Source organism: Homo sapiens, chromosome 9 (assembly GCF_000001405.40).
Source record: "Homo sapiens chromosome 9, GRCh38.p14 Primary Assembly".
Lineage (NCBI taxonomy): Eukaryota > Metazoa > Chordata > Mammalia > Primates > Hominidae > Homo > Homo sapiens.
In genome coordinates, this window is record NC_000009.12 from 34,128,171 (window position 1) to 34,143,548 (window position 15,378).

General features: G+C 48.8%; 1 pseudogene; it reads right to left on the minus strand.

Annotated features, from left to right (window-relative positions):
• Positions 4,289-6,648, minus strand: IMPDH1P1 (inosine monophosphate dehydrogenase 1 pseudogene 1; annotated as a pseudogene).

The following is a 15,378-nucleotide window of genomic DNA, read 5'->3' on the forward strand; positions in this document are numbered from 1 at the left end:
CTTTCTCAAAGTTCCTTTACTTCATCTTCACAACCTAGGAACCATCCCCAAATGTACCTTATAGCAGAGCTCGCGATTTCTTTTCTTTTTTTTTTTTTGAGATGGAGTCTCACTCTGTAGCCTAGGCTGGAGTGCAGTGGCACGATCTCGGCTCACTGCAACCTCTGCCTCCTGGGTTCAAGTGATTCTCCTACCTCAGCCTCCTGAGTAGCTCAGATTACAGGTGCTCGCCACGTTGCCCAGCTAATTTTTTTTTTTCTTTTTTGAGACGGAGTCTCGCTCTGTCGCCCAGGATGGAGTGCAGTGGTGCGATCTCGGCTCACTGCAGGCTCCGCCTCCTGGGTTCACGCCATTCTCCTGGCTCAGCTTCCCGAATAGCTGAGACTACAGGCGCCCGCCACCACGCCTGGCTAATTTTTTGTATTTTTAGTAGAGACGGGGTTTCACCATGTTAGCCAGGATGGTTGCCCACTAATTTTTGTATTTTTAGTAGAGACGGGGTTTCACCATGTTAGCCAGGATGGTTGCCCACTAATTTTTGTATTTTCAGTAGAGATGGGGTTTCGCCATGTTGGCCAGGCTGGTCTCAAAATCCTGACCTCAGGTGATCCGCCCACTTCGGCCTCCCAAAGTGCTAGGATTACAGGCATGAGCCACCACGGCTGGCCAAGAGCTCACCATTTCTATTCAAATAACAGAATGAAAGTCCATTTTGGAAATTTAATTGACAATTGCCTTTAAAAGACTGCAGGCCAGGTGCGGTGGCTCACGCCTGTAATCCCAGCACACTGGGAGGCCGAGTTGGGCCAATCACCTGAGGTCAGGAGTTCGAGACCAGCCTCCTGAGTAGCTGGGTTGCAGTGAGCTGAGATCATGCCACTGGACTCCAGCCAGGGTGACAGAGCAAGACCCTGTGTAAAAAATAAAATAATAAAATAATAATGATAACAATAATAAAGTAGTAGAGTGGCTGGGGGAAAAAGTACTCAGGGCATGTAACTACTCCAAGAATGGCATTCTTAGTGAGCCTCACTGCTGAAACTGCGTGCTATAATCTGAAAGCAGTTTTATCTAATAGCTGTTAAAACAACCTACTGTGACTCTCAGAAATAGTTTTACTTATTGCCTTCACTTACCAATCAAAACTTGCCAGCTCTCCAAAACCTTACTAGTGCCAGTGAACTTTCTTGAAGAGCAATACATAACACTTCCTTTTTACAAAACTTCCAACCTTCTCTTTGTTCTGCAGACATGGCAAAGACCACCCAGTCTGCGTGTGCCCTGAATTACAATTCCTGCTTCACAAAACATTTTAATTTTAGAGATTCATCTATATATTTTATTTCACCTTGACAAAACTGTGTGAATGAATTTTATAATATTGCATAAAAGATATCAGGCCAGGCGTGGTGGCTTACACCTGTAATCCCATCACTTTGGGATGCCAAGGCGGGTGGATCACCTTAGGTCAGGAGTTTGAGACCAGCCTGGCCAACATGGTGAAACCCCCTCTCTACTAAAAATACACAAATTAGCTGGGCATGGTGGTGCCCGCCAGTAGTCCCAGCTACTCAGGAGGCTGAGGCAGGAGAATCGCTTGAACCCAGGAGACCAAGGCTTCAGTAAGCCGAGATCGAGCCACTGCACTCCAGCCTGGGCAACAGAATGAGTTTCCGTTTCAAAAAAAGAAAAGAAAAGAAAAAAAAATCAAACACACTGCTGGGCACGGGGCTCACCCCTGTAATCCTAGCACTTTGGGAGGCTGAGGCAGGTAGATTGCTTGAACTCAGGAGTTTGAGACCAGCATGGGCAACATGGGAAAATCCTGTCTCTATAGAAACATACAAAAATTAGCTGGGTGGGGTGGCATGTACCTGTAGTCCCAGCTACTTGGGAGTTGGCAGGCTGAGGTGGGAGGATAGCTTGAGCCCAGAAGGTGGAGGTTGCAGGTGGAGAGCCAATATCATGCCACTGCACTCCAGCCTGGGAGATCCAGACCTGTCTCCAAAAAAGTCAAACACAAAGCAGTAATTCCTTTTTTTATTTTTATTTTTTGAGGGACAAGTTCTCGCTTTGTTGCCCAGGCTGGAGTGCAGTGGCATGGCATGCATGTGCCACCACACCCAGCTTATTTTTTATCTTTTGTAGAGACAGGGTCTCGCCTGGTTGCCCAGGCTGGTCTTAAACTCCTGGGCTTAAGCGATCCTCCCACCTTGGCCTCCCAAAGTGCTGGTATTACAGGTATGAGACACTGAGGCCAACCAAAGCAGTAATTCCTAAATGTAATTAGTAAATGCCTAATTTCATGTTTTTGAAGTATGAAAACAGGCACAACTGATCCATGGTAAGAGAAATCAGTCATTACCCTTAAGCGGGATTACTAACTGGCAGGGGACCTCAGGGAGCCTTCTGAGGTTCTGGAAATTTCTTTTTTTTCTTTTTGAGACAGAGTCTCATTCTCCCACCCAGGCTGGGGTGCAGTGGCACGATCTCAGCTCACTGCAACCTCTGCCTTCCGGGTTCAAGCAATTCTCCTGCCTCAGCCTCCCAAGTAGCTGGGACTACAGGCCTGCGCCACCACACCTGGCTAATTTTTGTATTTTTGGTAGAGATAGGGTTTCACCGTGTTGGCCAGGCTGGTCTCAAACTCCTGACCTCAGGTCATCCACCCACCTCGGCTTCCCAAAGTGCTGGGGTTACAGGCATCAGCCACCATGCCTAGCCTGGAAATTTCTTTCATTTTTCTTTTCTTTTCTTTTTTTTTTTTTTTTTTTTTTGTGAGACAGTCTCGCTTCATTGCCCAGGCTGGGTGCAATGGTGCAATCTCAGCTCACTGCAACCTCTGCCTCCTGAGTTCAAGCGATTCTCCTGCCTGAGCCTCCTGAGTAGCTGGGATTACAGGTGCCCACCACCTCGCCTGGCTAATGTTTTTGTATTTTTAGTAGAGATGGGGTTTCTCCATGTTGGTCAGGATGGTCTCGAACTCCCGACCTCAGGTGATCCGCCTGCCTCGGCCTCCCAAAGTGCTAGGATTACAGGCGTGAGCCACCACTCCTGGCCCTAATTTTTGTATTTTCAGTAGAGGCAGGGTTTCCCCATGTTTGCCAGGCTTGTCTAGAACTCCTGACCTCAAGTGATCTGCATGCCTCGGCCTCCTAAAGTTCTGATATTACAGGCATGAGCCACAGTGTCTGGCCCTCAAACTATACTATTTTGTAGCCTCAAATAAAAACCCCAACAGTTCCAATCTTCTCTAACCCCATTCCTCCAATTCAGTTCTTATAACCATTTCATCACAATGCAATGTGCTGCTAGAGGGTCATTAATGGATCTGCACCTGTTACCTTCTCTTGCCTTGGTCTTGCCAGGAAGAATAAACAATAAGAAATACTATAAAGTGCTTTGGGCAAACTGAATTGTGTTATACTTGCTTAGTAACAGAATTTTCTCTTGTTTATTTGCATAGGTTTCCTGGAACAAACAAAGCGGATGTTAATACAATTCCCTGTTTGACTCTACCCTTCATGTGTTGGAGCTAATTAACCACGCTTGCTAGCAAAGGGGCAAGTAAGAGCTCAGGAGGAAAGTATTTCTGTTAGGAAAAAGGATTTTGGATTTTAATTCATACAACCATAATAAAACATAGCAAGGAAAGAGACCCAGAGGACATAGGACACAAATGAACACAGATGGTAAGCGCACAAAAACGGCTCTCCGATGACGTAGGGATGTGAGAGGCCTCTGAGGCATGGAATCGTAATTACTTCACCCACTGTGGAAATATTTTTCAGATTCTGGGCATAGGTTATTAAAAGTGGAAGATATAGGCCGGGCGAGGTGGCTTACACCTGTAATCCCAGCACTTTGGGAGACTAAGGCGGGTGGATCACTTGAGGCCTCTACTAAAAATACAAAAATTAGCTAGGCATGGTGGCGGACACCTGTAATCCCAGCTACTCAGGAGGCTGAGGCAGGAGAATCACTTGAATTCGGGAGGCGGAGGTTGCAGTGAGTTGAGATTCAGCCAATGCACTCCAGTCTGTGCAACAGAGTGAGACTCCGTCTCAAAAAAAAAAAAAAAAAAAGTGGTAGATATAGAGAGACAGCTCATGTCTTAAACTTATAGTTTTAAAGAAAACTAAGGCCAAAAATGACAAGTCATGCAACCAGACAAGAGATAAGCCAGAGCTGAAACCCATGAACTCTGGTCTACAAAATTTTTTCTTTTCTTTTCTTTTCTACTTTTCTTTCTTTCTCTCTTTCTTTCCTTCTTTCTCTTTCTTTCTTTGGCATTGAGACCTGCTTGATTTATTCCAATTACTTAACACATAATGATGCAACTGTGATCCCAAAGTGTGCAAAGTTAAAGCCTTCAACTGCAGCTGAGGAGAGGGCAGGAATGGTTCACTGGGGACGGTGATGAGTCAGGAATGACAGGCAGGTGGCCATGACCAGGGCAGCCTCCTCCCCAGGGCCAGGGACAGGGGAGTGGCCTGAGGAGCAGGACCCAAGGGTAGCCCAGGGCCGGGGAAGAGGGCAGAGACCTCCCCTTGGCCTAGGTCAGGAGCTCAGAAGTGCTACATGGCTGAGGGGGCAGCGGCCCACGAAGGGCCAGAGGCAGGGCCAGGAGAGCACCATTTCCTGGGGGGGCTGGGGGCAGGGAGGTGCCCTACAGGAGAAACCAGGAGGGGCTGCCTGCCCCTGGGATGGGGGCTGGGCTGGAGCAGGCTGCAGCAAGAAAGACCTGAGGCAGGTGCAGGGCCTGAGAACCTGGCTGGCTGGGCTCGGGGGGCTCCCAGGGCAGCCTGGCCCAGGGAGCAGCCCTGACTCTGCAGGGGATGCCCAGCGAGGGCCCGGAGACCCTTCAGGGCCTCCCCTCCTCTCTCCCTGGAAAGGAGCTGGGGAACCCGTAATGCAAATCTGTGGACCACTCAGTTATGGGGGGAGGCTGTGCCCCCTCCATCACCTTGGCCTCTACTGCTGTCCTCAGTACAGCCGCTTTTCATAAAAGTGCAGACCATGGACGCCACCCTCGATCTGGGCCGACATGATCCGCTTCTCAAACTTGAGCTCTCCTGAGTACATCATGGACCGAGGGACAGACAGGCTGTGGGCCCCGATATCCTAGCAGCCGTGCTGGATGCCCACTATGAGGTAGGGCACGAACTTCTGAATGGACCCTTTGTCCTGGATGGAGCCCAAGACACCCTGCACGATCTTCACCTTATCCCCCTTGCTGAAGTATCGTTTCTGGCTGCTGCTGCTCTTCTCCATGGCATCCAGTGAGCCCATGCCCCAGTACTTCTTGAGCCGCACCTCGTCTGAGAAGTACTCACCAGGGGCCTCCATGGTGATGGCCAGCAGGGAGCCCATCATCACTGTGGAGACTCCAAGGGCCAGGGCCTTGACTATGTGCCCCATGGTCTGGATGCTGCCATTGGCTATGATGGGCACACCAAAGCGCCGGGCATACTTGGCCTCCTTGTACACAGCAGTGCCCTGGGGCTGACCACAAGCCATCACTTCCCGGGTGACGCAGATGGAGCCGCAGCCCATGCCCACACACAGCCCGTCCACACCAGCGTCAATCAGGTTCTTGGCCTGGGCTGCTGTCACCACGTTCCTGCCAATCACCTGGAGGTGGGGGTACTTCTGTTTGATGTAATGCACCATGGCGATCTGATACACCAAGTTCCCTTGGGACGAGTCCAAGACTATGATGTCGACGCCCACCTGGGTGAGCAGGTCCAGGCGATATTTGTCATCCTCACGGGTGCCCACAGCTGCCCCGCACAGCAGCTGCTTGTTGGGAATCCTTGGAGGCCAGAGGGTAGTCTTGGTTCTTCTTCAGGTCGCTGCCGGTGATAATGGCCACCAGCTCATTGCGATCATTGATGATAGGCAGCTTCCCTTTCTTGCTACGCTGCAGGATCTCATTTGCCTCTTTCAACGTCACACATGCTGGAGCTACCACCAGCTCGAGCCTTGGCGTCATCACCTCACTGAGGAGGGTGGTGTGGTCCTTCTCAGCAAGAAAGTTGATGTCTCGGGAGGTGACGATGCCCACCAGCTTGCTGCCCATGGTGCCCGTCTCAGTGATGGGGATGCCAGAGAAGCCATGCCGCATCTTGGCCTCCAGCACATCACCTACAGTGTGGGAGGGGCTCAGCACCGTGGGGTCCGTGATGAAGCCCTGTTCAAACTTCTTGACCTTCCGTAGCTCCTTGGCCTGGAGCTCTGGGGTGCAGTTGTGGTGAATGAAACCAGTATCTCCCATCAGAGCCATCGCGATGGCCACGTCAGCCTCTGTCACAGTGTCCATGGGGGAGGAGATCAGCGGTGTCTTCAGCGTGATCTTCCGGGTCAGGGCTGAGGTAAGGTCCACCTCAGCTATGAAGTCTATGAGTCCTGGGAGAATCAGGAAGGCGTCCTAGGTGAGGCCTTAGGCGCTGGCGAAGAGCTGCTGCGCGATGAGCCCGTCCTCGGGCATGTAGCCGGTACCACCGCTGATCAGGTAGTCCACCACGCTGCTGGGAGACCCTGCGACCCGAGAGAAACACCCGCTGGACCGCCCGCCGCCGCCGCCGCCGCTGCCGCGCTGCTGCCACGCTGCTGCCACGCTGCTAGCGCGGGTCCGGCGGGCCTGGGACGGGGGATCTTTTTTTTTTTTTTTTTTGAGAGCAGGGTCTGTGGCCCAAGCTGGAGTGTAGTGGTATGATCTCAGCTCACTGCAACCTTTGCCTCTTGGGCTCAAGCCATCCTCCCACCTCAGCTTCCTAAGTAGCTGGGACTACAGGTGCAGGCCACCATGCCCGCCTAATTTTTGTATTTTTTGTAGAGATGGGGTTTCACCATGTTACACAGGCTGGTCTTGAACTCCTGAGCTAAAGTGCTTTACATGCTTCGGCCTCCCTAAGTGCTGGGATTACAGGCGTGAGTCACCATGCTAGGCCCATAATTTTCAGCACTACCACATTAAATATCTGGGTCCAGTTGAAGTCTCAAGTGGTATTTATTTTAGCATTTCCCTTGTACTCTCATGTTTTTTCTTTATTCAGAACCTGAAATGTTTTATCCAGAACATCTACTACTTTGACAGCAGAAATTCTATTTCTATATGTTATGCATAATTTGGCATACGTTGGTAGAATTTGTGTTAAGTACAGTACAGACAATTTCTGTTTCATTTATTTTTTTAGAGACAGGGTCTCACTATGTTGTCCAGGCTGGACTCACAACTCAAGGGATCCTTCTGCCTCAGCCTCCAGAGTACTTGGGACTACAGGTGCGAGCCATCATTCTCAGTACAGACAATTTCCAATCATTCATTAATTGATCATAGAGTTTGTAAAGTTTCAAGAGTCCTTGTTTTCTGTTGCTCCTGCCTGTTAAACAGTCTTACTTTTATCTGTAACCTTAATAAAATAAGAAAATAAAGGAAGAGACAAAACTTTTCTACTTAATAAGATCAAGTAATTTATTTATTTATTTATTTATTTATTTTTTGAGATGGAGTCTCACTCTTGTCACCCAGCTGGAGTGCAATGGTGTGATCTCAGCTCACTGCAACCTCCACCTCTCAGCTTCAAGCGATTCTCCTGCCTCAGCCTCCCAAGTAGCTGGGATTACAGGCGTCCACCACCAAGCCCAGCTAGTTTTTGTATTTTTGGTAGAGACGGAGTTTCACCATGTTGGCCAGGCTGGTCTCGAACTCCTGACCTCAAGCGATCCACCCATCTCAGCCTCCCAAAGTGCTGGGATTACAGGTGTGAGCCACTGCGCCTGGCCAAGAAATTTATTTTTAAAAAATTGGCTGGACAAGGTGGCTGTAAATCCAGCACTTTGGGAGACTGAGGCAGGTGGATCACTTGAGGTCATGAGTTTGAGACCAGCCTGGCCAACATGGTGAAACTCCGTCTCTACTAAAAATACAAAAACTAGCTGGGTGTGGTGGAGGTGCCTATAATCCCAGCTACTAGGGAGGCTGAGGCAGGATAATCGCTTGAACCCAGGAGGTAGAGGTTGCAGTGAGCCGAGATCATGCCACTGCACTCCAGCCTGGGCAACAGAGCGAGACTCCATCTCAAATAAAATAAAGTAAAACAAAAATAAAAAATAAGAGAGAAATAGCTAATTGGAAGAAAAACAATGTACCTCATCCTACTCATGCTATCTTCCTACCGCCTTCATACATTTCTGAAATGACTAATGTGGGTATATATAAATATAAAAATTGTACACAAATATTACCTACCAATTTTGTTGAGGAGTCTTCCATCAGTCATATTTTTTGAGTCAAATACAACACAATCTTGGCATAAAAACAAACACATAGGTATCAACTAATGATAGGAAAATAAAATGGCTTGCAAAATGGAACAAATATTTTAAAAAAATTATTAGATAATTAGGCAACGTTTTTCCTCTGATCACAAATGTCCAGAAATGTCTTTAAAGACCATTACCGGCTGGTGGTGGCTCATGCCTGTAATCCCAGCACTTTGGGAGGCCGAGGCAGGCAGATCACTTGAGGCTGGGAGTTTACAGCCAGCCCAGGCAACATGGTGAAACCCTGTTACTACAAAAAAATACAAAAATTAGCCAGGTGTGGAGGCTGAAGTGAAGTTACAAAGGTTACACGCTGCCCTCTCCCTCCCCCTCCCCCTCTCCCCACGGTCTCCCTCTCCCTCTCTTTCCACGGTCTCCCTCTGATGCCGAGCCGAGGCTGGACTGTGCTGCTGCTATCTCCGCTCACTGCAGCCTCCCTGCCTGATTCTCCTGCCTCGGCTTGCCGAGTGCCTGCGATTGCAGGCACGCGCCGCCACGCCTGACTGGTTTTCGTATTTTTTTGGTGGAGACGGGGTTTCGCTGTGTTGGCCGGGCTGGTCTCCAGCTCCTGACCGCGAGTGATCCGCCAGCCTCGGCCTCCCGAGGTGCCGGGATTGCAGACGGAGTCTGGTTCACTCAGTGCTCAATGTTGCCCAGGCTGGAGTGCAGTGGCGTGATCTCAGCTCGCTACAGCCTCCACCTCCCAGCCGCCTGCCTTGGCCTCCCAAAGTGCCGAGATTGCAGCCTCTGCCCTGCCGCCACCCCGTCTGGGAAGTGAGGAGCGTCTCTGCCTGGCCGCCCATCATCTGGGACGTGAGGAGCCCCTCTGCCTGGCTGCCCAGTCTGGAAAGTGAGGAGCGTCTCTGCCCGGCCGCCATCCCATCTAGGAAGTGAGGAGCACCTCTTCCCGGCCACCATCCCATCTAGGAAGTGAGGAGCGCCTCTTCCCGGCCGCCATCCCATCTAGGAAGTGAGGAGCGTCTCTGCCAGGCCGCCCATCGTCTGAGATGTGGGGAGCGCCTCTGCCCCGCCGCCCCGTCTGGGAGGTGAGGAGCATCTCTGCCCGGCCGCCCCGTCTGAGAAGTGAGGAGCCCCTCCGCCCGGAAGCCGCGCCCTCTGAGAAGTGAGGAGCGTCACCGCCCGGCAGCCACCCCGTCCAGGAAGGAGGTGGGGGTCACCCACCGCCAGGCCAGCCGCCCCGTCCAGGAGGGAGGTGGGGGGGTCAGCCCCCCGCCCGGCCAGCCGCCCCGTCCGGGAGGTGAGGGGCGCCTCTGCCCGGCCGCCCCTACTGGGAAGTGAGGAGCCCCTCTGCCCGGCCAGCCGCCCGGTCCGGGAGGGAGGTGGGGGGGTCAGCCCCCGTCCGGCCGGCCGCCCCGTCCGGGAGGGAGGTGGGGGGGTCAGCCCCCCCGCCCGGCCGGCCGCCCCGTCCGGGAGGGAGGTGGGGGGGTCAGCCCTCTACCCAGCCAGCCGCCCCGTCCGGGAGGGAGGTCGGGGGGGTCAGCCCCCTGCCCGGCCAGCCGCCCCTTCCGGGAGGTGAGGGGCGCCTCTGCCCGGCTGCCCCTACTGGGAAGTGAGGAGCCCCTCTGCCCGGCTAGCCGCCCGGTCCGGGAGGGAGGTGGGGGGGTCAGCCCCTCGCCCGGCCAGCCGCCCCGTCCGGGAGGTGGGGGGCGCCTCTGCCCGGCCGCCCCTACTGGGAGGTGAGGAGCCCCTCTGCCCGGCCACCTCCCCGTCTGGGAGGTGTGCCCGGCAGCTCATTGAGAACGGGCCATGATGACAATGGCGGTTTTGTGGAGTAGAAAGTGGGGAGAGGTGGGGAAAAGAGTGAGAAATCGGATGGTTGCCGTGTTTGTGTAGTAGGAGGTAGACATGGGAGACTTTTCATTTTGTTCTGTACTAAGAAAAATTCTTCTGCCTTGGGATCCTGTTGATCTGTGACCTTACCCCCAACCCTGTGCTCTCTGAAACATGTGCTGTGTCCACTCAGGGTTAAATGGATTAAGGGCGGTGCAAGATGTGCTTTGTTAAACAGATGCTTGAAGGCAGCATGCTCGTTAAGAGTCATCACCATTCCCTAATCTCAAGTACCCAGGGACACAAACACTGCGGAAGGCCGCAGGGTCCTCTGCCTAGGAAAACCAGAGACCTTTGTTCACTTGTTTATCTGCTGACCTTCCCTCCACTATTGTCCTGTGACCCTGCCAAATCCCCCTCTGTGAGAAACACCCAAGAATGATCAATAAAAAATAAATAAATTAAAAAAAAAAAAAAAAGGTTACACGCTAAAAAAAAAAAAAAAATTAGCCAGGTGTGGTGGTGTGCACTTGTAGTCCCAGCTATTGGGGGTGGGGCTGAGGTTAGAGGTTTTTTAGAGCCCAGGATGTGCAGTTTGCAGTGAGACCTGTCTCAAAACAACAATCAAAAACCATTTCCAAGAAATAAATGCAATAAATATTGTGATGTTCCCTCTCTGTGTGTGTATTCTTACCACCTACTTGTGTGCTTATTTATTGAAATAAAATTGCAGACATAAATTTTTCCCTGTTGGTTTTTTGTTTGTTTGTTTGTTTGCTTTCTGAGACAGAGTCTTGCTCTGTTGTCCAGGCTGGAGTGCAATGGCACGATCTCGGCTCACTGCAACCTCCGCCTCCCGGGCTCAAGCAATTCTCCTGCCTCATCCTCCCAAGTAGTTGGGATTACAGGTGCCCATCACCCTGCCTGGCTATTCTTTTGTGTTTTTAGTAGAGATGGGATTTCACCATGTTGGCCAGGCTGGTTTTGAACTCCTGACCTCAAAGATCCGCCTGCCTCAGCCTCCCAAAGTGCTGGGATTACAGGTGTGAGCCACTGCGCCTGGCCCCTATTGTTTAAATATAGTAATTTTATGAGAACTTACCTATTTTATTTTTGTATCTATTAAAAACATCATTTTTGGCTGGGCATGGTGGTTCACACCTGTAATCATAGCACTTTGGGAGGTAGAGATGGGTGGATCACTTGAGGCCAGGAGTTCGAGACTAGTCTGAGCAACATGATGAAACCCTGTTTATACAAAAAAATACGAAAATTAGCTGGGCATGGTGGCGTGCATCTGTAGTCCCAGCTACTTGGGAGGCTGAGGTGGAGAATCACCTAAGCCTGGGGAGGTGGAGGTTGCAGTGAGCTACAATTGCACCACTGCACTCCAGCCTGCGCAACAGAGTGAGACCCACTCTCCAAAAAAAAAAAAAAATTTTTTTCAAAGTAAAAAAAGTAATCTAATAGAGGAAAATGCTCCAGTCAGAGTGGCTTGGAATCTGTTTTAGTTCATAAAACTAGGGGCTGAGGTGAGAAAAAGAGGCTGAAACAAGCTGCTGCCCTCTGCTGCCTGGGACAGCAGCTTTTGTAACTCTCATACCCAGGAACCAGGCCAACATAGACATGGCCACAAAACCAGGATCTGTGCCAAACATACAGGGCCATGACTGAATTCACAAAAACCCTAGATAAGGATGGTGAGAGCAGTGAGAAAGAAGGTTATAGCAAAACAAAACAGAACGAAATTGCAAAACTTCCCACTCTAAGATGAACCTGCAAATAAATTTCCTCAACTTATTAAAATTAATTGTAGACAGGACAAATTCCCCAACACCAACACCAAAAAAAAAAAAAAAAAAAAAACCAACCAAAAAAACAAACAAAGTAAAATCCTCCATAATTAGGAGGGTAATTCACTATAGATAAATGCAAAGAAAAGAACAATCTTTAAAAGACCTTTTTCACAGATACTCTCAATCTAAGAAAAAAACAACAGAAATAAAAGGCTTCAACACAAGTATGCCTTGGATCCTCAAAGGGATAAAGGAAGAATAACAAATTGAATAAACGTAAAAAGAGATCTCGCGCATTGGCTCATGCCTATAATCCCAGCACTGTGGGAGGCCAAGACAGGAGGATCATTTGAGGCCAGGGGTTTGAGAACAGCCTGGGAGATATAGTGAGACCCTGTCTCTAAATAAATAAAGAAAGAAAGAACACATATTCTTTGATTCATCTCCCTCTGGGAAGTACAGCTCAATTTCTCTCTTATTCAGTATTGCCTGGACTCAGTGACTCACTTCTAATGCATAGAATTTGGAAAGGGAAAAATAGCAACTGCACAATGGAGATACCACCTTAACCAAGTGATCAAGTTAACCTAAATAATAATGTCAGACTGATATCTTATAACCCCTTATATGATGTGATGAGAAGGGCACTTTACCTCTGTAGCATTCTTCCCCAAAATCTATAACCCTAGCTTAACAGAAAACATCAGATAAAAACCTAAATTGAGGAACATTAGACAAAATAACCTGCCCAGTACTCTTTAAAAATGCCAAGGTCATGAGACAATGAAAGACTGAGTACAGTCACGGATTTGAGACTTGACAACTAGATTCAACATGGTGTCTTGGATTGGATTCTGAACAGAAAAAAAGAAAAAAGAAAAATTAAGGAAATCTGAATAAAGTTAATAGTATTATATCAAGTTTAGTTTCTTACTTTTGATAAATGTCTCAGTTATGCAAGACATTACGTAACTGTTAACATTAGGGAAAGCTGGGTGGAGGATAAACAAGAATTTGCTATGCTATCTCTGAAGCTCTTCTGTAAATCTAAAATTATTTCAAAATGAAAACTTTAAAAATTAAAAATAAATGAATCAATTAGAAATCCTGAAAATAATTTCCTAAATGAAAAAAGTAAGTTATTGGTAATAAACCCTCAATAAACTAGATATACATTATCTTAGATGGACATAGACAAACAGAGTGTTAGTGAATTAGAAGATGGTTCTAAGGAAGTGGCTTAGAGAACAGCATACAAATTGACCAGGCACAGTGTTTCACGCTTGTAATCCTAGCACTTTGAGAGGCCGAGGTGGGCGAATCACCTGAGGTCAGGAGTTCGAGATCAGCCTGGACAACATGGTGAAACCCCATCTCTACTAAAAAATACAAAAATTAGCCAGACACAGTGGCGCATGCCTGTAATCCCAGCTACTCAGGAGGCTAAGGCTGGAGAATAGCTTGAACTGGGGAGGCGGATGCTGCAATGAGCCGAGATTGCACCACCGCACTCCAGGCCAGGCAACCGAGCGAGACTCCATCTCAAAAAAACCGAAAAACAAAAATTAGCTTGGTGTGGTGGCAGGTGCCTGTAATCCTAGCTGCTCAGGAGGCTGAGGCAGGAGAATCACTTGAATCTGGGAGGTGGAGGTTGCAGTGACCCGAGATCACACCATTACGCTCCAGCCTGGGTGACAGAGGAGACTCCACCTCAAAGAAAAAAAAAAGAGAGAACAACATAAAAAGATAGAAATTGAGTATAATAAAAAGGCATGGAGGTTAGAAGTGGCATTATTGAAAATGGCAGAGTAGGGGATCCATTTCTCCCCAGAAACACTGAAAAACTTGGCAAAACCTGTTGGAATTCAACCTTATCAGAATGCTAGGAGACAGTTAAAAGTTTACAGCAACGGGCCGGGTGCTATGGCTTATGCCTGTAATCCCAGCACTTTGGGAGACTGAGGCGGGTGGATCACCTGAGACCAGGAGTTCAAGATCAGCCTGACCAATATGGTGAAACGCTGTCTCTACTTAAAATACAAAAATTAGCTGGGCGTGGTGGCGTGCGCCTGTAGTCCCAGCTACTTGGGAGGCTGGGGCAGGAGAATTGCTTGAACCTGGAAGGAGGGGATTGCAGTGAGCCAAGATTGTGCCACTGCACTCCAGCCTGAGCGACAGAGTGACACTCCATCTCAAAAAAAAAAAAAAAAAGAAAAAGAAAAGTTTACAGCAACCAAATGCTTAACCAAGAGAAAGGCCACTGAAGCAGCTAAGATTTTTGTGGTATTTTAGCTTACCTTAGCCCCATCCCCTCCTTAGAGAAGCAGTGATCTTAGAGCCAGCAGCTTGTGTTCCCTGTTCAGATACCTCGTTCTAGAGAGAGCAGAGTGGACCTTGTTCCTATGGAATAGGATTTGATTTTTTTTTTTTTTTTTTTTTTTTTTTTTTTGAGACTGAGTTTCGCTCTTTCACCCAGGCTGGAGTGCAATGGTGTGATCTCAGCTCATAGCAGCCTCTGCCTCCCGGGTTCATGCCATTCTCCTGCCTCAGCCTCCCAAGTAGCTGGAATTACAGGTGCCCGCCACCACGCCCAGATAATTTTTGTATTTTTAGTAGAGAGGGGGTTTCACCATGTTGGCCAGGCTGGTCTCAAACTCTTGACCTCAGGTGATCCACCCACCTTGGCCTTCCAAAGTACTAGGATTACAGGTGTGAGCCGCCGCGCCGGCCCAGGATTTGTCTTTTGAACCTAACTAGGGTTTCTCTTTGTTGTAACTAACTTGGAACTCTGCTAGGATAGAGCAGCTACACAGACTTTTCCTAAAAGCAATTAAGAACAAATGAATGAACTGCTATGGGCTGGGCAAAACAAACAATCAAAAAAACAGCTAGATCAAACAACAGACATGTTGAAAGCCTGAGAGGAAAATCCAGAGAATGATATTTTGGGGGAGAATAAGAGCTTTGAAAGTTTTCTATGTTTACAGGGGAATCTAGAAAGCCACACACATGCCAAGAGAAGGACACATGCTTAGAGAAAAACTGGGAAGACCATGAGTTTTCACCTCTGCCTGATTTTTAGACTCAGTGCAAGCAAGAAGTGGAGGTTTAGACAGAGTTGCAAACAGCATGGCTAAGCATAGAAGGAGTGATTCAACATAGAGCCAATCTGCAAAGACCTGGAAATTTTTCTTTTCTTTTGTACTGCTTTTTTCCTTCCCTTATTTCCTTTTCTCCAGGCATTTAAGGAAACATCTGGCAAACCACAGTAAAAAAAAAATATGGTTATGTAAGAGAAGGTTCTGGCTTTTTTTTTTTTTTTTTTTTGGAGGCTGAGTCTCGCTCTGTTGACCATGCTAGAGTGCAGTGGTGTGATCTCGGCTCAACCTCTGCCTCCCAAGCTCAAGCAATTCTTGTGCCTCAGCCTCCTGAATAGCTGGGACTACAGGCCCCCACCACCACG